Consider the following 24,733-nt stretch of genomic DNA (forward strand, 5'->3'; position numbering starts at 1 on the left):
ATTTTACACATGGCAATAGACCGAATCCAAAAAAAAAAAAGTTTTCATTTAATAAATTCAATTCAAGATGATATATTTTTGTGGTTACCTAGGTAATAGTTGCTATAGCTCTGGAATGCATTATCAGTTTAACAGTATATTCATAATAGGTCCTACAGTGTAGATTCAGATCACTATTTTATAGACTGTCATAAATAAATATGTTAATCTTTGCATTATCCATCAATATCAAATATGTTAACATGTTCCATTATCATCAATATTTCAAATACCAATTTCAAATCTATTCTTCCCCAGACAGGGAAGATAAAAAATTATATACAATTTCATAATTGTATATTGTACATATATTGGTTTTAAAGATGTTAACAGCTATATAATTGAATGTCTTCAAAAAAGGAAACATCAAGTATGTTTCTATGCTAAAAACATACAAACATATATAGAATATAAATAATCCTGAAAAGATTTTTAACATGATATTCATTTCTACTAATTAAATCAACTGTTATGTAGTTGGTTAGCCAACGACCCTCTATCTTGAAAAACAATTTGACTTCAATTTACATGTATAATTCCTGGATTTTTAATTATTAAATTGGAATCCATTCTGAAGTACATAGAAGTTTTGATTGATGTCTCACAGAGCATAAATAATTGCCTCTTTTAAGCTGTTTGGTAATTTTAAAGCAATAAGTAGCACTGCATACTAGAATAAGCTAGAGCTAACTGTCAGACTTGCAATCAAATTTCATGTGTGAAATTAGCTACGTGATTTTGCACAAGTTACCTAAAGCTCAGAGCCTCAGTATTCTCATCTCTAAAGGACATTCATAGGATCATTTTTCATATAAAGTGAGATAATTTGTATGGAAACCATCTAATAATAATGGTATGTATGAACTCAAAGCAATTACTATAACATAACTACCAATCAATTTCTCCTTTACTGGTTTAATTGTAGATGCAAAGATCCAAAGCAAATTGGATGTTGCTCCAAACTCAAAAGATGTTTTTAATTTATATTGATTATTGATATATTTAGCTCTAGGTATCGAAGGTAGAAACTTCTGTATTACCAAAACTTTTTGAACTCTTTTTCCAAAACACAGTGTTTATAAAGAGGTTACCACTATCTATATTCTAACTATAGCACCATAAAATTCAACTAGCTTTACTAGCTCTCTCGACTATAACTCAGATCCCTCATCTGTATGATATATGAATATGATGAATATAGTACAAAAAACAAAATATATTGTACCTTTTAAAAATCAACCTATTCTAGGGATAAAATGTAAACACACTCACACATACACACAGACACTTATATTGCCTCTCTTTTCTCAGGCTCGAATTCCCTTTTCCTTACCCTTGCTTTCCAAAAAGGCTTTCATCCCTTCTATTCCAATGAAATTTCTCCTATCAATATTGACTTCCATTTTACCGTTTCCAAAAGTCAACACCAAGTCCTCATCTTAGATGACTTATTAGAAGCATTTGACATTGATGATTATTCCCTCTCCTCCTTTTATTTTAATAGTTGGCTTTCCAGGACACCACATCTTCTAATGTTCTTCCTGCCTTTCTGACTGCTCCTTCACCATCTCCTTTGCTACCTCCTCCTCTTCATACCTACTTTTAGATTTTGGAGTGCCTTAGGGCTTAATCAAGGATATACTTCTCTATTTATACTCACTTTTATAGGTGATCTCATCCAAATCTGTAGCAATAAATGTCATCTGTACATTAGTGAGTCCTAAACTGAATTGTTACTCTACTTGTCCTGTGACTTTTAAGAAACCCATATCACATTAACTGTTTACATGTCAACAAAGAATCTTATGATCACCTTAAATTTAACATATCCAAAACAGAATTCTATCTCCCCATCAGGATCACAAACCTGTTCCTCACTCAATTCTTCCCCTTTATCTGTACATTTCCTCAGGTCATAAGCTCTGGAACCATCCTTTACTTCTCTCTTTCCCTCATTTTCTATATCCAACTCATCAGAAAGGTATGGTTTGAATATATGTCTGATTCCTACCTCTTCTGATGGCCCTACCACTAACACTCTACTGAAAGGCACAATCCTCCAGTGTGAATTTTATAAAAATGTACAACAGATTATGATACTCTCTAGTTCAAAGTTTCCATGGGCCATCCATAATACTCAGAAAATATCCTAACCGTAGCCCTTATGTTCCTAGTCTATCTTCACAATCTCATCTCCTATCTCTTTCTACTAATTTTCTTCACTTCAGCCATGGCTTGTTCCCAGGTTATCACATTCTTATTTTCTGTCTCCTCTCCCAGAATGACCTTGCCCAGATTTTCATGTGGACTAAAGCTAACTTCCAAGTCTCTGCTCAACTATCATATTATCAATGGCCTTTTGCATCATCTTATTTAAAATAAACTTCCCATATCACTTTCTCTTCTTACCTTATTTTCATCTATAACAAATGTAGTGAACAAAGACATGTTGCTCTCAGACCCACTTCCAAGAAATAATCTGCTGCCTAGAAATGAGCAATGGCGTTTTCTGACAGTTCTCAGCCATTAACTCCACGAGTATAGGTGATACTCTGTTCTGTGTGACATCAGCTAATGGCTGAGAAATGTGTTACTACAGAGACCTAGCCATTTCTAATGGATATTTTTTTGTTCTGGAGTGCTTCTGTGGACTGCCAGATACATTGTCAATTACAGCATCATAACTGACCTCTGTTCATTCCCACTGCCTGTTTTTCCCCTTCATTGGTTTCACTGGTTTGCACTCCAACAAAATTTTAAAATTTTACCCTCGATTTTAGTGTGTTCTTTCTAGAAGACCCAAATTATACAGCAAGCTATGTCACATATTTGTTGACTCTATGTCTCCCTCAATAGAATGCAAGTTTTATTAATGCAGTGAGTTTGTTAGTCTTCTGAACCATTATATTCCCAACTACCAAAAAAGAACCTAGGATAAAGTAGGTCCTTAATAATTCTGTATGATTAAATGAAGAATGACTTTGCGTAAATGAATTACCTAATGCATAAACATTATAGCACGATTAATAAAACATAAAAAGGAACAAATGTCAACCCACAGTTTTGCCATCCTAATAAATCAAGCCTTTAAATTATGTTTTCTTCTCTTTAGCCACATGATTACAATATTATACATAGTTTTACTCACAGCATTGCAAATATAATTTTTAGTCTATTGGTTATTTTAAGTTAATACAAAATATTTCTAGGTTGTTATAGTGTTCAAACTATACATTTCTCATGGTGTTTATGTTTCATTATATAGATATACAACAATTTGCTAAATTGTCGGGATTTTTAAAATGAAGTTTTTAATATTAGAGGTAACAACACAGCAATGTTTACATTTTTTTAACAAGTAACAGAGCTAGATTAGGTGATTTTCAGAAATATTAGGTTAGCAATAGGGGATGTATATTTTTAATTCCATACAATGAACAAAGAGGCATAGCTTGTTGCACTTTACCAAAGGCAATCAGACAGGTGTTAGAAAAGGCTTTCACATTTTAGGTGGGCCTGATAGAAAGACTATAAATTAAAGGGAGAATAAACTTCAAGTTTTGCCTGACCTCTAGAATTGTTTTTGAATTATCTTTACAATTTTCCTGACCTTAAATAAATTGTTTTCTAAATGGGCATGCAGACTTAGATTATGTCCTCAAGTTCTCTGCATAGATGCTACAGATGCTAATAAGAGGTTGTAAATAGAGATAGTACCAGGTTCATAGTAATATAGTTAGAAATGTTTGATCTTTAGAGCACAAGTTACTTAATTTGAATAGTAAGAGCGTTTCTCTCAGTTTAATCTAATAGTGGTCTCAAAAGCTGACAATGTAACAAATGTATATTTTACCACATTTTGGTGATACACTGAGTGAAATCTGGTTTGAAAAGGTATAATCTAATGCTACTTCCTAAGTCCTTGATACAAACAAGTAGAAGCTTCTTGACATATAAGGTAATGGAGTAGGAATATCAAGAATCCTTATGTATCTACTATAGACTGTAAGATCAGAGTCACCAGCAGCATTAAATATTGTTTCACAAAAACGCTTAAATGCTTGCTCTAGTACTCCAACTAATTCTTTGACCTATTTGCAGAAAAGCTTTTGAGGGCTTCAGGCTTGACTTGAAGTACAATAGAAATTATTACATTAAATGAAATCTTTTTAATCTTTTTTTCTTCAGATTACAAAAGTAATGCATATATTCATTGTCTTAGTTAGGTTAGACTAAGCTATGGTAACAAATTCCAAAATTTCAGGGGACTAACATTTATTTTTGGCTCATATATATCAGCGTGGCTCTCCTCCGTGCAATAAATCTGAACTGAATTTCCTCCCATCTTATGGCTTTATCATTCTCATCAGCCTCCGCAAGCAGCCAAAACTAGGGAAAAGAAATCATGGAAGAGACCTACTCACTCTGTAAAAGCCTCAGATGAGAATAACACATTTCATTTCCATTCACATATTTAGCTGCATAACTATACTTTGTCCACAAGGGAGTTAGAAATATATAGTCTCAACATGTTCATGATGATAATCCTATTAATATAAAAGGAGAGAATAAAATTTTGAGGAAAAAGTCTGTTCCACATTTATACAACATTGAAACATCATGAAAATATGCCTTTAAAAGTAAAAATTCCTCTTAAAACTGCCCCTCAGAAACAACTACTGTCAAGAATTTGTTACATATTCCAACTCACTTTATTCATATGCTTGAATATGTTTTAAATAAGTCTATAGTGTGCCTAATAGTTTTAAACTTTAGAATAAAATCAAAGCATTTTAATATGGATAATAAGATGTTAAAGAGATTACTAAAGAACTTCATCTCCCCTTCCTCACTGCATATCAGCCATATGATTTTTACTTCTGTTCGGGAAATATTCCCATTTACTTTGCAATTTTCTCTGTCTGAAACCTTCCAATTCATTGCAGAATGAGAGCCTTATTCTCCAGATCTCAACTCAGAGGGCATCTCCTCAGAGAAGTCTTCCTTCAGCATTAATCAAAGATGGTCTTTTCCACTCAACCAACTCTAGCTCAACAAAAATTTAAATTCCTTTTCACTGCCTGAAATAATTTTCTTTACTTATCTCCACTAAAATGTAATCTGCAAAACAAAAGGACCTTATCTATCTCGTTCAGCACTGTGTGCTCAGTATATACAATGATGCCTGATGTTATAGGTGCTGGATGAATGAGTGTATGAATGGATGTATCTATGGTTGTGTAACAAACCAACTGAAAATGTAGTGGCTTAAAAATTAATTTAACAATGATTTGTTATTTTTCATGACTATGGATCAAGAACTCAGGCAATGCTCAGTTGAGTGGTTATTCTACTATACATGATTGTAGCTGGATTCACTCATATGTAGCTAGCTGCAGCCAGCTGGGAGGTCCCAACGTACTAACCAAATGTACTAAGTGGATTTCTCATGCATCAGGTGTCTTTCTATATTACTTCTAATTATCAAATCATCTAGCCTGGACTTCTTTACATCATGGCTGCTGAGATCCAAGAAGAAGGAATAAAAGTTGTAGTATCTTTTAAGGTCTAGAGTAGAAATCCAAGAATATTACTTCCACTGTATTCAATTAGTTTAAGCAAGTGATAGTCCAGCGCAGGCTCAAGGAAAGAGAAAGGAGACCAAATTTCTTCGAGTCTGTGCATGTACAACAAAGGGAGGAATTATTGAAAGCTACATATGGAGATTATATACCCCAGTCCCAATAACTGTGTCAGTCAGGACACAATCAGTGAATCACTAATAGTTAATATTACAGTTATAGAATAAGTTGTAGAATAGTTACAGAATAAGAATTTTTTTTTGTAGGAATGAGACCTTAAACAATTGTGGGAGAAGCTTGAAAATTAAAGTCTGAAAAGGGAGGTTGGAGGATCAGAGGTGTCATCCACAGTCAATCTGAGATGCCACATAGATTCAACCACCAAAAAAGGATCATAAAAGAGGAGTGGGTGGAGATACCTACAGGAAGGTGTTATCTTTATGGGTTCCCATGTAATTATCTGGTGATGAACTTCGGGCCACGGATGGTCACTAGGGCCTGCAATTGGAGAGAAGAACTAGACAGACACTGGAACAAAGCCAAGCAGAAACTTGCCAGCATTTGTGTACCTCTTGTCTGGGTCTGAGACTGACGGTCAGCAAGGCCAGGAGTCCAAAAGAAGAGCTTGACACATAGTTGAGATGCATAGGGAAAAGCTAAAGCCCAACAGGCACCTCTATATTTGTCTGTCATTTCAGATAACCATGATGACCATAAGAAAATGAAGCCATTGCTTGCTTCTGCTTTCCAGATCTCAAGCAAATTACTCTTTTGACCAACTATAACCTGAAACCATTCATGAAAAGAGTTGGGAGAACATAATTAAATTGATACTTTAGAAATCACAAAAATGTACTTATTCTTTTCATTGGTCAACATAGCCTGGATATCTTTCAAAATCAATACATGGACATCTTTCTCATTATTTTTAATAGCTGTATAATTTCTTTCCAAGTTCTGGTATTGCAAGCAATGCTGCAGTGAATTGCCTTGAACAAGAATTCTTTTCAATTGTGAGAGGTCTGTAGAATAAATTTCTAGGAGTGGAAATGCTAGCATAAAGGGTATATAAAATTTTAAAGCAGTTATTGCCAAAATGTCTTCAAATAGACTGTAACTATATTGTTTTGGAGACTGCCATAATTGAGTCAGCCTCTCTCTCAGATGGATCATATTGTGATTCTCATAATTGCAATGAAAAGGAAATTGCAAGGCACAGAGGAACAAAATGAAATTAAATGCCTTCATCTGCCTTTTAGTCCTGATTAAACATAGAGTACCTAAAATGTTTGAATATTATCCACTCTGATTTTAGTCTTGTCCCTGAAGGTGAGAGTGTACTCCTTTGAAGAGTCCTAAATTCCAGACATATTAAAAGGTAAATAAGGAAAAATAAGGGGCCGGGCATGGTGGCTCACACCTGTAATTCCAGCACTTTGGGAGGCTGAGGCGGGTGGACCACGATGTCAAGAGATCAAGACCATCCTGGCCAACATAGTGAAACCCTGTCTCTACTAAAAATACAAAAATTAGTTAGGCATGGTGGTACATGCCTGTGGTCCCAGCTGCTTGGGAGGCTGGGGCAGGAGAATGGCTGTAACCCAGGAGGCGGAGGCTGCAGTGAGTCGAGATGGCGTCACTGCACTCCAGCCTGGTGATAGAGTGAGACTCCATCTAAAAAAAAAAAAAAAAAAAAAGGAAGGAAGGAAGGAGAGATGCTTTGGTCCATGATCATTTTCCCTGGACAGAGATCAATGTCAACAATGAAATGTAGCCAGCCTCTCAGGGTTTTTCCCTGTAGGCCTCTATTTAAGCAAAATCTCTTTATACATGCTCAGCTGAGAAATAAAATACTTTTCTCTCCATTAAGTTTAGTTAGCAAGTTTGCTGAACACTAGAGGCTCAAGAATGGGCTTTAGATACATTTTTTACTCTCCCTAATAGGAAAGGTGAGGATAATAATGACAGAGATCTCAACCTTGTGCTCGTTAGAATCCCCTGGGAGTATGCTAAAAATTAGCAATATCTATGCTCCAGTTCCAGAGATTTTGAGCTGATTGGTTGGAGGTATCCAGCGTTGGTATTGTCTAAATGATATCCATGTGTTTCTCATGTGCAGCCAGAGTGAGAACCTCTACCTTGGAGAAGAAGCACTCCATTCCGGTGACAACTGGAATACCTCATTTACAATTGATATCTGTAGGACTCGTATTATCCAGTCCCATTAGAAGAAAAGAAATTACTCAGCTTTCATTAATTGGAGATTTTTCTGAAAATTCCCCTAAAACAAATGTTTGCCACTCCTGCTTACAAAGTTTGAAAGTGTCTGTGTCCCCACACCCTGGCAAATACTAGTTATTATTAGTAATTTCCTTTTCTTTCTTTTTGTTAAACGGAGTGGAGTCAACTACTTCAACATTGTTTCAAATATATCCTTTGCATTATTGCTGAGATTGAACATCTTTTAATAAGTTCTTTGGACATCATGCCTACTGTGAATTGCCTGTTCATATTTGTGCTTTATTTTTGTTGGACTGCTCATTTTTCTTTCATTTATTTGCAAAGGCTATTCATGTAGATAATATCCATTTGTCTTTTATATATGCTATACACATTTTCCCCAGTTATTCACTTATTTTTTAACTTTTGTATGGTGATTTAAGAAGAAAATTGTTTAGTCAAATCTGTCAATACTTTCTTATTTTCTTTCATGTCGCCCTCAATCCTATATTATTTTTTAAAAGACTACATTTTCTATTGTGTTTGTTTTAATGTTTCATTCTATAATCTTTCTGAAATTAGTATAAGTAGCCAATTATTTTACATTAATTAGCACAACACAATCTATTATTACAGCACACTTCCATTTTAAGATACATTTTTTACAAGTTATAAGTGTTTTTAGCCTGATTATTCTTAAAATCACTCATGTTGATTTCAAGAATCTTAACTGGTTAAATATAGATGATTCTAGCTATTTTACTGTAATTCTCAGAAAAAAAGGAATTAAGTAAGAAGCTATTTATACTTTTTCTCTCAGTCCGAAATACATTCTTTATGTCTGTAAGTTTTGACACAAATACATTTTAGAGATATTTTTAAGTCCTCCAGGTTTGAATTTTAGAACTAAAAAATCAGAAACATCACATTCATTCGGTAGCCATCAATTGTTTATCTTGCTGAGGAGATTATCACTTTTCTGTGATTCAATTATGCAAATAAACTCTAAAAACAGAACTTAGCATAAGTGAAATGCTACTTTAAAAAACAAAATTTTATAAAAAATAAATATACACAATAATTATCTGCTCCTTTTATTTCTTTAGATTAAGACTGATTCTGTAACTCTTATGCTTGTGACAAAGCAATGTGACCTTGGAAAGATGTCTATTTCCTTATCTCTAAAATGATGATACATAATAATGTTGATTTTAAAGTGCTATTATAAGGATTAAATAAAATAATACATGAAAAGTGCTTAGCAAAATGTCAGATGGAAAGCTAACACCCATTACATAATTGCTGTTTTTATTCAATTAGCAGTCCTATTACTACTACATACGTTATGAGGCACACATCACATTTTGATCTTTTCATTGTTTTCATAGTGCCATAGGAAAACTCACTCTAGTCTGGTTTTGTCCTCATTACTCCATTTGGTATTGTTTATGTCAAAGCCACCAACAACTTCTGTGAAACCAAATCTCATGTTCACCTTTCTGTTTATATCTTACTTATGCTTCTGTCTGCCTACCGTATTAACTTTATTCTCTCCTCTTGCCTCTTATCTTATTCTTTGCTCTGTCTTGCTACACTGCTCCTTTATGATCTTTTCTTCTCTACTAAACTGCTAAAAGCTGGATGCTTTGAGGCTCTGTTTTAAGTCACTCTCAATGTTCCCACAAGGTAATATTTCTAGCTTATCTCATAGGATTCATGGCTTTAAATACCAACTAAATATCAAGGGCTCCAGCCCTGACCTAGAACCTGTCTGGAGTCCTAGACAACAACTTTCCACCTGATATCTGGACATGAATGTCAAGTAAATATTTCAGACTTAGCTGTCCAATTTCTCCCTACCTCATAACCTAGTACTTTAAAAACTGTTAAAAATGTAAATTAGATTTTGTTTCATTCTTCCTTAAAAACTTCCAATGGATTCCCATTGTACTTTAAAAAAAAATCCAAATTCTTTACCCCAGTTTACAAAGAACACTCCATAGTCTCTTTCTTTGACATTATCTAATTAGCCTCTTCTCTAATTAGTTGTCCTTTATACTTCAGCAACATTGGCCTTCTTTTTATCTTAAAACTCAACATACTTAAGTTTGCCCTAACTAATACTGCTTCTGGTTTGCATGCACCTAGCTATTTCTGGTTCTTCGTCACCTCTTCAGAGAGGATGAGTCTACTAACATAGCTCCACAGTCACTGTATCATGAAGTTCTTTATATTCATTGGAATTATATATTGTGTAAGTGCTTATTTATTTGTTTGTTTCCTCTCACTAATGCAAGCTTCATAAAAGTAGAGTTCTTCTGACCTAGGTTCACATCTCAAAGAACAGACCCTAGTACTCAGTTAGAATTTGTTAAGTACATAAATAAACACATTATCCCTCTTTACCAAAGAAGAAATAAAACTTGAAGAACTAGTGCCAAACTAACAAAAAAAAAAAGATGAGAAATCACTTTCCCTGAAACTTTTCATACTTTAATTGTTTCTAAACAAATTTTCCATTCAATTAATGTTTACTAAATTGCTAATTAAGTGTTATCTGGAAACAAACAACAAAATATTAGGCATGATTCCTAAAATCAAGAAGTTGTGCCTTTATATGAGGACACAAATGAACACATGAAAAGCTAAGTAAATACTTGGTGGTAAATGTTAGATGAGAGAAAAATGACTGATACACATAATAAGAACTATTGTAATATTCAAATCTATTTATGTTACAAGATAATTATTGGCAATATTTATTTCTGTTTTCTTCATTATTGAAATGTAATTGCATTTTTAAAAAAATTTGATTCCCAACTTGATATATAATCTGGTAACAAAACTTTGAGAAACTCTAAAGAACTACGTTAGACAATTCAAAAAAGTTTTAATGTAAACAATACTTACTAAGAAAAGATAATTAAACTGAAGCCATTTTCAAGTCGAGTAAGTGTTTGGGACAGAGAAAAAACTGTTCTGTTTTGAGTAGAAATGGATATATTTGGTTGTTCTGATATATATATGTATATACTGGGAATAATTTGAAAACTAGTTATATGTTTTATACAGTCAAGCATTGCATAATGACATTTTGATCAATGACAGACCATATATACAGCATGTACAACAGTGGTCCCATAAGATTGTAACAACATATTCTTACCAGACCTTTTGTATGTTTAGATATGTTTAGACACATAAATTCTTACTACTGTGTTCCATCTGCCTACAGTGTTCAGTAGAGTGACATGGTGTACAGATTTGTAACCTAGGAGAAATAGGCTATGCCTAATAGCCTAGGTGTGTAGCATAGCCTAGACTATCTAGGTTTTTGTAAGTGCACTTTATTTTGTTAGGATGATGACTAGATCACCTAACAACACATTTCTCAGGCTGTGTATCTGTCATCAAGCAATGCATGATGGTAGTTGTAAACTAAAAATAATTTATTGCCTATTTTTGACACAGAGATTTCTACCACCAGTGTCACTTACCCCCAAATTTTTTTTCTCTAAAGTAACTCACTGTACAGTCATGATTTCTGAGGTGAGTCTACATAATGCAACTCAAATATAGTGATATGATTTTGATTTTTAAATCACAGTATAAATGGGATTAATAGATTCACATATTTCTTGTTAAAAAGGTCTGAGGTAATATTAGGTCATCAAATGCCTAGAGAAAATGAATAATACTGTTGCTGGGGAAAGGTTACAAGAAAAGGAAAGTGTAAAGATTATAAATGTTACCTACTTTATACTTTTGAAAACAGCCATCCTGGACATCCACTAACACCAAGATTATTTAATTATTCTTAGAAGAAATGGCAGAGAAGGTCAAGTTTAAGTAGAGTCTATCAGCAAAAGACAACAATCCTCAATTCTCCCTGAAAACCACTCAGCAAGATATAGACTTGAAGTCATCGTGTATGACCATATCACCATGGTAACCTCCAGCTCAGGCTACTTGATGTCTGCAGAGCAGTAAAAACATTCCTTTAAAGAGAAAAGAATGCATGTAGGTCACACACACTCACACGAAAAATGAATGTGAGAGAAGAAAAGATTCATTTCCAGGGAAGTGCATGGCAAATGTTGTAGGCATTAAATATTTGGACAATAAAACTGGGAGCATTTCTAATATGGCAAGAAGGAAATAACCATAAAATAAAATTTTCCTGTACTTAATCTAGAAAATTTTCCCCACCTAAAACCAAAGTGGGAGAAATCCCACTTCTCCTCCTCTGAATATACAAAATACTTTTTCAAGAGCCATGCACATCTATCTGAGGTATTAGTGAAGAAGGTATTAGTGAAATATATTTGCCCATAAAGAAAGCTGTGCTTCACTCTTTGGTGACAATACACATGTCTGCATGAGAAATAAGCACAGAAAAATTAACTGTATAAAACACACGTATAATGTATATTAATTGGTAGATACTTTATATGCATTCACTTTCTTAATTTTTCCCATCAGTCCTGAAGCAGAGGTACTATTATTTTTCCTAATTACAGATAGATGAAGAATGTAAAATACAAATAAGTTCAGAAATTTTCCACAGGACACACGGCTAATAAGCAACAAATCCAAAATTCAAAGTGAGACAGTTTGGCTCAAGGGTCTGTATTTGTAACCATTGTGCTAAGACAAGTCTGTAACACCAACACAGAATTTCTTTCTCTTTACGTACAAATGATAGAATGGCTTAATGCTTAAAATGATAAGCATTTATTATCTATAAGCTTATTTGCATTAGGAATTCAAGAGTAGCCAAAATAAAAAATTACGGCTTAGGGTTTCTTAATGAGGTTGTAATTAAGATGTTGGCTGAGGCTACAGTTATCTGAAAGCATGACAGCAGCTAAAATATCTGCTTCCACAATGGCTCCTTCATGGCTGTTGGCAAGAGACTTCACTTCCTTATCTCTTAGACTTCTGCATAGAGCTGTTTGTGTGACCTTACAAAACGGCATCTGGCTTCCCTCAGAGTGAGAGCTTCCCCAAGAAGTGAGAGTAAGGCAGTAGCCTAATTATCACATGCCATCGCTTTAGGCATATTCTAATGATCATGGAATGGCATGTGTTTATGAATACCATATACAAAGCCATGAATACCAGGAGTAGGGGTAGACTGATTAGCCCACCTGTAATCTGAATTTCTTTGATTAGTGCAAAGCAGAGCTGGGACTAGAGTGACGCAAGTGAAGCATCGAAGGGGCAAAATGTAAGGAGGTACTCATCCTTGTGTGCCGACTCTGAACAAACATGACCTAGAGAGAGACTCCCTTTTTATATTTTGTGTCCTAGGTATCTTGCTTGCTTTACCGTAGTCCCAGCCCCGGTATAAAAAATAAACATTTTTCCATGTTTTACTTCACTGTTTCTTCTTTTATTTATTATGAAATCAGAGTCATCACTTACCTATTGGAGTCTTTATCTTATGATTTTGATTATCTTTAAATTTTAAAGATATTAAGAGTATATTTCTGTTATAATTTTTGTGGTACACTTTGTCTTTAACATATTTCCAATATTCTTACTTCTGTCACCTGTCTTAGAGGACAAGAGTGGAAATGCTTGTTTTAAAGTGGTCTTAACATGGAGTCCCATGAGATGCTCCCTGAACACCTTAATATTATGATGTTTGGGTTATATTATGCCAATTTTTTTGAGGTTATGATTCATGCTATTAACCCAAAAAAGTTTGAATCTACTGCTTACTTATGAATTACAATATCATATTTGCAGACTTTGGTGTAGATGCTCTCATTTGTCCTTCAACACTTATTTGTCATTTTAAATAAGGAATATGAGTTTCATTACTAATTATTGATTGGCAAAAAGAATTAAGATAGGATTAATTTCTGGAATTCAATTTTACTTAATTAAACTTTAAGAAGAGATTTACAAAAAACACTTTAAATAGACTTAAAATTTATATTTATTATACAAGCAATAGTATGACTAAGGACAATGCCAGAGGAAAGAATGCATACCAACTCTAAACATATCAATTTTTTTTTTTTTTTTTTGAGAAGGAGTCTCACTCTGTAGCCAGGCTGGAGTGTAGTGGCACAATCTCGGCTCACTACAACCTCTGCCTCCCGGGTTCCAGCCATTCTCCTGCCTCAGCCTCCCAAGTAGCTGGGACTACAGACGTTTGCCACCACATCCAGCTAATTTTTCTATTTTTAGTAGAGATGTTGGCCAGGATGGTCTCAATCTCTTGACCTCATGATCCGCCCGCCTCAGCCTCCCAAAGTGCTGGAATTACAGGCGTGAGCCACTGCGCCCAGCCCGAACAAAAGTTTTTTTAAAATCACTAGTATGATTACATTGCCAAACCCAACCTAGTATTTAAGTATTAAACAGAGATTACTAGCTGCTGCTGCCAATCTTAAGTTGTTATTATTATGCTGTTTAAAATATGATTTAATGCCATTTTAAGTTACTCTTTAATTATTAGAAAGAAGTAATATATTTGGAAGTCATCCAATATATCCCTATGAATTAAACTCCCTCACTCTTTAATCATGTTATTTAATCAAAAATTAATTTCCTGCCAGAGTGGCCTGTTAAGGATTTGCTAATTCTGACTTTCTTCTCTGAAACTTAATTGAACTCAGCAGTCAATAGCTTCTCTCCCCAGGTCTTGGATAACAAAATACATTTTAGTTTCTTCTTTTTATTTTTTCCCCATATTTATCATTTCTCAAACGTTATTTTTTTCTTTAAAAATTGCTTTTCTTTTCTACAATGATTAAAGCAATTGAAAAGAATAAACAACTCACCATTAATTGACTATTCTTGAGGCTTTGTTATTTTTAAATCAACTTGGGATGATTTTCAATCTCTTCTGATATGCTTTCACATCCAATTAAAAAACATATAATAATGTGGAACTTTCTAATACAGTCTAGTCTCTTGGGCAACTGAAAGGTGTTTGGTTCATTCTTGCTTCTGTTGTCAGCTCTGGTCCATGGAAAATATCCTTCCATGGTGATCTAGGCAACATCATGATGAACCAGGAACACAGTGAAAGCCTTTCATGAAGGTGTGAAAAGCTTTAAAAATTTAGGTTGCAACTGGAGCACTCCAGTCTGGCGAGAGAGCGAGATTCCATCTCAAAACAAAACAAAACCAAACCTGTTTGTTCCAAACATAGCAAATTTTTTATTGCTAATTTGAACACACACACACAGATAAAATAGGTAATGATGAAATCTACACTCCAAGAAGATTTGTAGCAATAATGAAAAGAACACTGGAAAGGAGTTTGGTAGTCAGCACTACATCATAACAATAAGTAAAAAGCTGAACAAACTGAAAAATTAACAGCTCTTCTTAGATCTGTCAGAGAAGTGAGATCACAGGGCAAACCACTGCCCCCAAAATTGTAGAGACAGACAAATAGAAGTGGAGAATCACAACTTATTAAGCAGGAACTACACAGAAGAAATGTCCATGAGAACCAGTGCCGGGATAGGAAAACTTGAACTCTAATTGACAAATACCTGGAGGTTGACTATGGACAACTCTGAGTGTTAAAAACTCCAGAAGGACGCAGTCACAAAGGTGCCCTCTCCCTTTTGTGAGTTTTACCTCTAGAAACTCTACCAAGTCCTCACAATAAATATTGGAGAAAAATTCTCGTATGCTTCCAGAAGAGGGAGGGAAAAAGTAACCATTTAAAAAATACAACAGAGCATTCTGTTCTTCTTAACAAGGCCTGTCCTCATGATAAACTATTTTACTACAGGCTAACATGGTGGAGTTTTATCAGAGTCTAACATACCAGGAGGAAAGGAAATACCCAACTTCAGTCCACTGTAGCCATCCTGTCCTACCTAAGCAAGAAAGAAAACTTAGATACATCCCATCAATACCTAATTTAGTGAGAGTTTTTAGCATGAAGCGTTGTTGAATTTTGTCAAAGGCCTTTTCTGCATCTATTGAGATAATCATGTGGTTTTTGTCTTTGGTTCTGTTTATATGCTGGATTACATTTATTGATTTGCATATATTGAACCAGGCTTTCATCCCAGGGATGAAGCCCACTTGATCATGGTGGATAAGCTTTTTGATGTGCTGCCGGATTCGGTTTGCCAATATTTTATTGAGGATTTTTGCATCAATGTTCATCAAGTATATTGGTCTAAAATTCTCTTTTTTTGTTGTGTCTCTGCCAGGCTTTGGTATCAGGATGATGCTGGCCTCATAAAATGAGTTAGGGAGGATTCCCTCTTTTTCTATTGACTGGAATAGTTTCAGAGGAATGGTACCAGTTCCTCCTTGTACCTCTGGTAGAATTCGGCTGTGAATCCATCTGGTCCTGGACTCTTTTTGGTTGGTAAGCTATTGATTATTGCCACAATTGCAGAGCCTGTTATTGGTCTATTCAGAGATTCAACTTCTTCCTGGTTAAGTCTTGGGAGAATGTATGTGTCGAGGAATTTATCCGTTTCTTCTAGATTTTCCAGTTTATTTGCGTAGAGGTGTTTGTAGTATTCTCTGATGGTAGTTTGTATTTCTGTGGGATCGGTGGTGATATCCCCTTTATCATTTTTTATTGTGTCTATTTGATACTTCTCTCTTTTTTTCTTTATTAGTCTTGCTAGCGGTCTATCAATTTTGTTGATCCTTTCAAAAAACCAGCTCCTGGATTCATTAATTTTTTGAAGGGTTTTTTTTTGTCTCTATTTCCTTCAGTTCTGCTCTCATTTTAGTTATTTCTTGCCTTCTGCTAGCTTTTGAATGTGTTTGCTCTTGCTTTTCTAGTTCTTTTAATTGTGATGTTAGGGTGTCAATTTTGGATCTTTCCTGCTTTCTCTTGTGGGCATTTAGTGCTATAAATTTCCCTCTACACACTGCTTTGAATGTGTCCCACAGGTTCTGGTATGTTGTGTCTTTGTTCTCGTTGGTTTCAAAGAACATCTTTATTTCTGCCTTCATTTCGTTATGTATCCAGTAGTCATTCAAGAGCAGGTTGTTCAGTTTTCATGTAGTTGAGCATTTTTGAGTGAGTTTCTTAATCCTGAGTTCTAGTTTGATTGCACTGTGGTCTGAGAGACAGTTTGTTAGGTATTGATGGGATGTATCTCAAAATAATAAGAGCTATCTATGACAAACCCACAGCCAATATCATACTGAATGGGCAAAAACTGGAAGCATTCCCTTTGAAAACTGGCACAAGACAGGGGTGCCCTCTCTCACCACTCCTATTCAACATAGTGTTGGAAGTTCTGGCCAGGGCAATTACGCAGGAGAAGGAAATAAAGGGTATTCAATTAGGAAAAGAGGAAGTCAAACTGTCCCTGTTTGCAGACGACATGATTGTATATCTAGAGAACGCCATTGTCTCAGCCCAAAATCTCCTTAAGCTGATAAGCAACTTCAGTAAAGTCTCAGGATACAAAAATCAATGTATAAAAATCACAAGCATTCTTATACACCAATAACAGACAAACAGAGAGCCAAATCATGAGTGAACTCCCATTCACAATTGCTTCAAAGAGAATCAAATACTTAGGAATCCAACTTACAAGGGACGTGAAGGACCTCTTCAAGGAGAACTACAAACCACTGCTCCATGAAATAAAAGAGGATACAAACAAATGGAAGAACATTCCATGCTCATGGGTAGGAAGAATCAATATCGTGAAAATGGCTATAATGCCCAAGGTAATTTATAGATTCAATGCCATCCCCATCAAGCTACCAATGACTTTCTTCACAGAATTGGAAAAAACTACTTTAAAGTTCATATGGAACCAAAAAAGAGCCCACATTGCCAAGTCAATCCTAAGCCAAAAGAACAAAGCTGGAGGCATCACGCTACCTGACTTCAAACTACACTACAAGGCTACAGTAACCAAAACAGCATGGTAGTGGTACCAAAACAGAGATATAGATCAATGGAACAGAACAGAGCCCTCAGAAATAATGCCACATATCTACAACTATCTGATCTTAGACTAACCTCAGAAAAAGAAGCAATGGGGAAAGGATTCCCTATGTAATAAATGGTGCTGGGAAAACTGGCTAGCCATATGTAGAAAGCTGAAACTGGATCCCTTCCTTACACCTTATACAAAAATTAATTCAAGATGGATTAAAAATTTAAATGTCAGACCTAAAACCATAAAAACCCTAGAAAAAAACCTAGGCATTACCATTCGGGACATAGGCATGGGCAAGGACTTCATGTCTAAAACACCAAAAGCAATGGCAACAAAAGCCAAAATTGACAAATGGGATCTAATTAAACTAAAGAGCTTCTGCACAGCAAAAGAAACTACCATCAGAGTGAACAGGCAACCTACAAAATGGGAGAAAATTTTCACAACTTACTCATCTGACAAAGGGCTAATATCCAGAATCTATGATGAACTCAAACAAATTTACAAGAAAAAAACAAACAACCCCATCAAAAAGTGGGCAAAGGATATGAAGAGACACTTCTCAAAAGAAGACATTTATGCAGCCAAAAGACACATGAAAAAATGCTCATCATCCCTGGCCATCAGAGAAATGCAAATCAAAACCACAATAAGATACCATCTCACACCAGTTAGAATGGCAATCATTAAAAAGTCAGGAAACAACAGGAGAAATAGGAACACTTTTACACTTTTGGTGGGACTGTAAACTAGTTCAACCACTGTGGAAGTCAGTGTGGCGATTCCTCAGGGATCTAGAACTGGAAATACCATTTGACCCAGCCATCCCATTACTGGGTATATACCCAAAGGACTATAAATCATGCTGCTATAAAGACACATGCACATGTATGTTTATTGTGGCACTATTCACAATAGCAAAGACTTGGAACCAAGCCAAATGTCCAACAATGATAGACTGGATTAAGAAAATGTGGCACATATACACCATGGAATACAATGCAGCCATAAAAAATGATTAGTTCATGTCCTTTGTAGGGACATGGATGAAATTGGAAAGCATCATTCTCAGTAAACTATCGCAAGGACAAAAAACCAAACAACTCATGTTCTCACTCATAGACGGGAATTGAACAATGAGAACACATGGACACAGGAAGGGGAACATCACACTCTGGGGACTGTTGTGGGGTGGAGGGAGGGGGGAGGGATAACATTAGGAGATATACCTAATGCTAAATGACGAGTTAATGGGTGCAGCACACCAGCATGGCACATGTATACATATGTAACTAACCTGCACATTGTGCACATGTACCCTAAAACTTAAAGTATAATAATAATTAAAAAAATTTTAAAAAAGAAAAAAAAAGAAAAAACTACTAATTTTTTATAAACACACATGCACAAAAAAAGAAAGAAAACTTAGAAGCGCTGGTGGAGTTCAAAGTTCAGGAATACAAGTTCATCAGAAGTCTGAGACATAATCATAGGAGTATATAATGCTTCCCCTTCCCTTAAAATATACCATCACACCACTAAATGCCTATTTACTAGAGTTCCTTTAACCTAGTATATCATGTCTATCTTTCAACGTAATATTACAAGTCATACTAAAAGGTAAAAAAAAAAAACTATAGTTTGAAGAGATTTAACAATCATCAGACTAGTGTCAGATGTGGCAAAAGTATTGGAATAACCAAATAAGGAATTAAAAATATACACCTATATATATTTATATATGTTAATAACATGCTAAGGGTGAAAAATCTGACATGTGAGAACCAACATATAATGTAAACTGACAAATGGAAATTCTAAGAAAGAACCAAAAAGAAATGTTAGAAGTCAAAGACACTGTAACAGAAATGAATAATGCCTTTGATGGGCTCCTTAGTAGACTGGACGGAGCTAAGGAAAGAATCTCTGAGCCTGTGGATATAACAAAAAAAGCTTCAAAAACTGTAAAACAAAGAAAAAAATTAATAAAATAGAACATAATATTCCAGAATTATGAAAAAACTACATAGGTGTGACATATGCGCAATGAAAATGCAAACAAGAAAGAAAGAGAAACAATATTTGAAGCAATAATGACAGAAATTTCCCAAAATTAAAGTCAGACACTGAAGCACAAATCCAGTAAGCTTAGAAAATATCAAGCCAGGTAAATTCAAACAGAACAAAACAAAAACTATACATAGGCATATTATATTTAAATTTCAGAATATCAAAGAAAAAACCTTGAAAAAAGACAAAGGTGAAAAATAAAACAACCTTTACATACAGAGGAGCAAAGATAAGAATTACATATAACTTCTCTTCAGGAAACACACAAGTAAGAAGAGAGTAGAGTGAAATATTTAGTGTTGGGAGGGGGAAAAAAAGAAACAACAACCTAGAATTCCTTACCCTGAAAAATTTTCATCAAAAGTGAAATAGAAATAAAGAATTGAGGGAATTTGTTTCCAATAGACTTACCTTGCAAGAAATGTTGAAAGACATTCCTCAGAGAGAATGAAAATGTACAGGTCAGAAACTCAGATCTATATAAAGAAAAGAAGAGCATCAGAAAGGGAATTAAGTGAACGTTAAATTAAAAACTTTTATTTTTCTTATTCTTAATTGATCTATCAGATAACAGTTTGTTCAAGATGATAATAGCAGCAGTGTATTTGATTATGTATGTTTATGTACATGCTTTATGTGTACATATATGCTTATGTATGCTGATACATAAATATTTGAGATATGAATGACAGCAATGATAAAAGGTACAGGGAGAAGAAATTAAGAATATCTTGTTATTATAAGGTAATCACACTATTTGTGACGTGATACAGTATTAGTTGAAAATGGACTTGGATAACTTGTAAATGTGCAGTGCAAACTCCAAGGAAAACACTTAAAGAGTTTTAAGGCTGGGCACGTTGGCTCATGCCTGTAATCCCAGCACTTTGGAAGGCTGAGGTGGGCAGATCACAAGGTCAGGAGTTCAAGACCAGCCTGACCAATATGGTGAAACCCTGTCTGTACTAAAAATACAAAAATGAGCCAGGCGTGGTGGTGCACACCTGTAATCCCAGCTACTCAGGAGACTGAGGCAGGAGAATCACTTGAACCCGGTAGGCGGAGGTTGCAGTGAGCCGAGATCCCACCACTGCACTCCAGCCTGAGCGATAGAGTGAGACTCTGTCTCAAAAATAAATAAATAAATAAAAGAGTTTTAAAATAAGTATAATGGATATGTGAATAAATGTGAGAAAATTGATTAAAACCAAGAAAAGGCAGGGAAAAAGTGAAAGACAAAAATAGAAACAAAGAGCAAGGTTAACAAATAGAAAATGTAACACATATGGTAGTTATTAATCCAACTATATCAATAATTACTTTGAAAGTCAGTGGTCTAAATGCACCAATTAAAAGACAGAGATTGATTGTCAGAGGGGATCAAAACAAGACCCAACTTTACGTTTATACAAGTAATTCACTATAAAGATAAAGACGTATAGATTAAGAATAAAGGGATGGAGGAATATACACCATGCAAACACAAATCAAAGAAAGTAGAAGTAGCATTATTAACCACAGACAGAACAGTCTTCAGAGCAAGGAAAGTTATCAGTGACAAATTATAAGGGATAAAGAATGGCATTACATAATGATAGGGTGACTAATACTCCAAGATGACAAAACAACCCTTAATATGTATGCACCTAACTACAGAGGATCAAAATATGTGAGGCTCAAAATACATGATAGATTTGCAAAGTGAAATAGACAAATTCACTATTACATAATTGAATACTTTAATACCCCTTAATTAGACATGGACATATGCATCAGGCAGAAAATCAATAAGGACATAGTCAAACTCAGCAGAACCATCAATCACCTGGATATAATTGAAATAACTACTTTATCCAACAACAGCATAATATACATTCTTCTCAAGCTCATATGGAACATTCACAAAGAGGGAACAAATTCTAGGCCATAAAGCACAATTTAACAAATTTAAACAAATATAACATTTAAAATATTTTTTAAAAAAATTCTTTAAAAGTAAAAAAAAAAAAATAGAAATTATGCAATAGTTGCCCTCATACCACAATGGAATTAAACTAGAAATCAATAACCAGAAAGTAGCCAGAAAATCCCAAAATACTTAAAAATTAAACAATACACTTCTAAATAACAAATGAAATAAAGAAGAAATCTCAGGAGGAATGTAAACTTTTTAAGCTGAATAAAAAATGAAAAAAAAGTATGAAAATTTGTAAGGGCACAGCAGTGCATAGAGAGAAATTTATAGCATTGAATGCATCTATTAGAAAAGAGCAGTGATCTAAAACTCAATAGTCAAAGCTTTCCACCTTAGGAAACTACAAAAAGATGAGTAAGATTAAAGTAAGCAGAAGAAAATAAATAATAATGATTGGGGCAGAGATCAATAAAATTGGAAACAGGAAATCAATAGAGATAGACAATGTAAATAACTGGTGGGTTTTTTAATTCAAATTGATATTAGAAAAGATCAACGTAATCAGTAAGCCTCCAGACAGACTAAGAAAATAGAAAAGAGAGAGAAGACACAAACTACTAATATCAGAATTGAAAGAGGGTACATCATAGATCCCACGGACATTAAAATGGTAATAAAGGATACTATAAACAACTATGTGCCCCAAAATTTAATAGCCTAGATGAAATAGATCAATTTCTTTTTTTATCATTATACTTTAAGTTTTAGGGTACATGTGCACAATGTGCAGCTTTGTTACACAGGTATACATGTGCCATGTTGGTTTGCTGCACCCATCAACTGGTCATTTACATTAGGTATTTCTCCTAATGCTATCCCTCCCCCAGCCCCCCGCCCCCCAACAGGCCCCAGTGTGTGATGTTTCCCGCCCTGTGTCCAAGTGTTCTCACTTTCAATTCCCACCTATGAGTGAGAACATGCAGTGTTTGGTTTTCTGTCCTTGTGATAGTTTGCTGAGAACAATGGTTTCCAGCTTCATCCATGTCCCTGCAAAAAACATGAACTCATCCTTTTTTATAACTGCATAGTATTCCATGGTGTATACGTGCCACATTTTCTTAATCCAGTCTATCATTGAGGGACATTTAGGTTGGTTCCATGTCTTTGCTATTGTGACTAGTGCCACAATAAACATACGTGTGCATGTGTCTTTATAGTAGCATGATTTATAATCCGTTGGGTATATACCTAGTAATGGGATCACTGGGTCAAATGGTAATTCTAGTTCTAGATCCTTGAGGAATTGACACACTGTCTTCCACAATGGTTGAACTAATTTACACTCCCATCAACAGTGTAAAAGCATTCCCGTTTCTCCACATCCTCTCCAGCGTCAGTTGTTTCCTTACTTTCTAATGATTGCCATTCTAACTGGCATGAGATGGTATCTAATTGTGGCCTTGATTTGCATTTCTCTGATGACCAGTGATGATGAGCGTCTTTTCATGTGTCTGTTGGCTGCATAAATGTCTTCTTTTGAGAAGCATCCGTTCATATCCTTTGCCCACTTTTTGATGGGGTTGTTCCTTTTTTTCTTGTAAATTTAAGTTCCTTGTAGATTCTGGATATTAGCCCTTTGTCAGATGGGTAGATTGCAAAAATTTTCTCCCATTCTGTAGGTTGCCTGTTCACTCCAATGGTAGTTTCTTTTGCTGTGCAGAAGCTCTTTAGTTTAATTAGATCCAATTTGTCAATTATGGCTTTTTTGCCATTGCTTTTGTTGTTATAGACATGAAGTATTTGCCCATGCCTATGTCCTGAATGGTATTGCCTAGGTTTTCTTCTAGGGTTTTTATGGTTTTAGATCTTACATTTAAGTATTTAATCCATCTTGAATTAATTTTTGTGTAAGGTGTAAGGAAGGGATCCAGTTTCAGCTTTCTACATATGGCTGGCCAGTTTTCCCAGCACCATTTATTAAATAAAGAATCCTTTCCCCATTTCTTGTTTTTGTCAGATTTGTCAAAGATCAGGTGGTTGTACATGTGTGGTGTTATTTCTGAGGGCTCTGTTCTGTTCCATTGGTATATATATCAGTTTTGGTACCAGTACCATGCTGTTTTGGTTACTGTAGCCTTGTAGTGTAGTTTGAAGTCAGGTAGCGTGATGCCTCCAGCTTTGTTCTTTTGGCTTAGGATTGTCTTGGCTATGTGGGCTCTTTTTTGGTTCCATATGAATTTTAAAGTAGTTTTTTCCAATTCTGTGAAGAAAGTCATTGGTAGCTTGATGGGGATGGCACTGAATGTATAAATTCCCTTCGGCAGTATGGCCATTTTCATGATATTGATTCTTCCTATCCATGAGCATGGAATGTTCTTCCATTTGTTTGTGTCCTCTTTATTTCATTGAGCAGTAGTTTGTAGTTCTCCTTGAAGAGGTCCTTCACATTCCTTGTCAGTTGTATTCCTAGATATTTTATTCTCTTTATAGCAGTTGTGAATGGGAGTTCACTCATGATTTGGCTGTTTGTCTGTAATTGGTGTATAGGAATTTTTGTGATTTTTGCACACTGATTTTGTATCCTGAGACTTTGCTGAAGTTGCTTATCAGCTTAAGGAGATTTTGGGCTGAGATGATGGGGTTTTCTAAATATACAATCATGTCATCTGCAAACAGGGACAATTTGACTTCCCCTTTTGCCAGTTGAATACCCTTTATTTCTTTGTCCTCCCTGATTGCCCTGGCCAGAACTTCCAACACCATGTTGAATAGGTGTGGTGAGAGAGGGCATCCCTGTCTTGTGCCAGTTTTGAAAAGGAATGCTTCCAGTTTTTGCCCATTCAGTATGATATTGGCTGTGGGTTTGTCATAAATAGTTCTTATTATTTTGAGATATATTCCATCAATACCTAGTTTATTGAGAGTTTTTAGCATGAAGGGCTGTTGAATTTTGTCAAAGGCCTTTTCTGCATCTATTGAGATAATCATGTGGTTTTTGTCAC

General features: G+C 34.9%; 1 long non-coding RNA gene across 2 annotated transcripts in view; it reads right to left on the bottom strand.

The window, feature by feature from the left end:
• The window catches only part of LOC105369873 (uncharacterized), a 173,421-nt gene extending 153,129 nt beyond the window's left edge, over window positions 1–20,292 (bottom strand). For both annotated transcript variants that reach the window (XR_001749232.1, XR_945149.4), the window contains exon 1: window positions 20,228–20,292. This is a non-coding gene — a long non-coding RNA (uncharacterized LOC105369873). The remainder of the gene's footprint in view (window positions 1–20,227) is intronic.
• Window positions 20,293–24,733: the final 4,441 nt, after the last annotated feature.

This window comes from Homo sapiens, chromosome 12 (genome assembly GCF_000001405.40).
Source record: "Homo sapiens chromosome 12, GRCh38.p14 Primary Assembly".
Classification (NCBI taxonomy): Eukaryota; Metazoa; Chordata; class Mammalia; order Primates; family Hominidae; genus Homo; species Homo sapiens.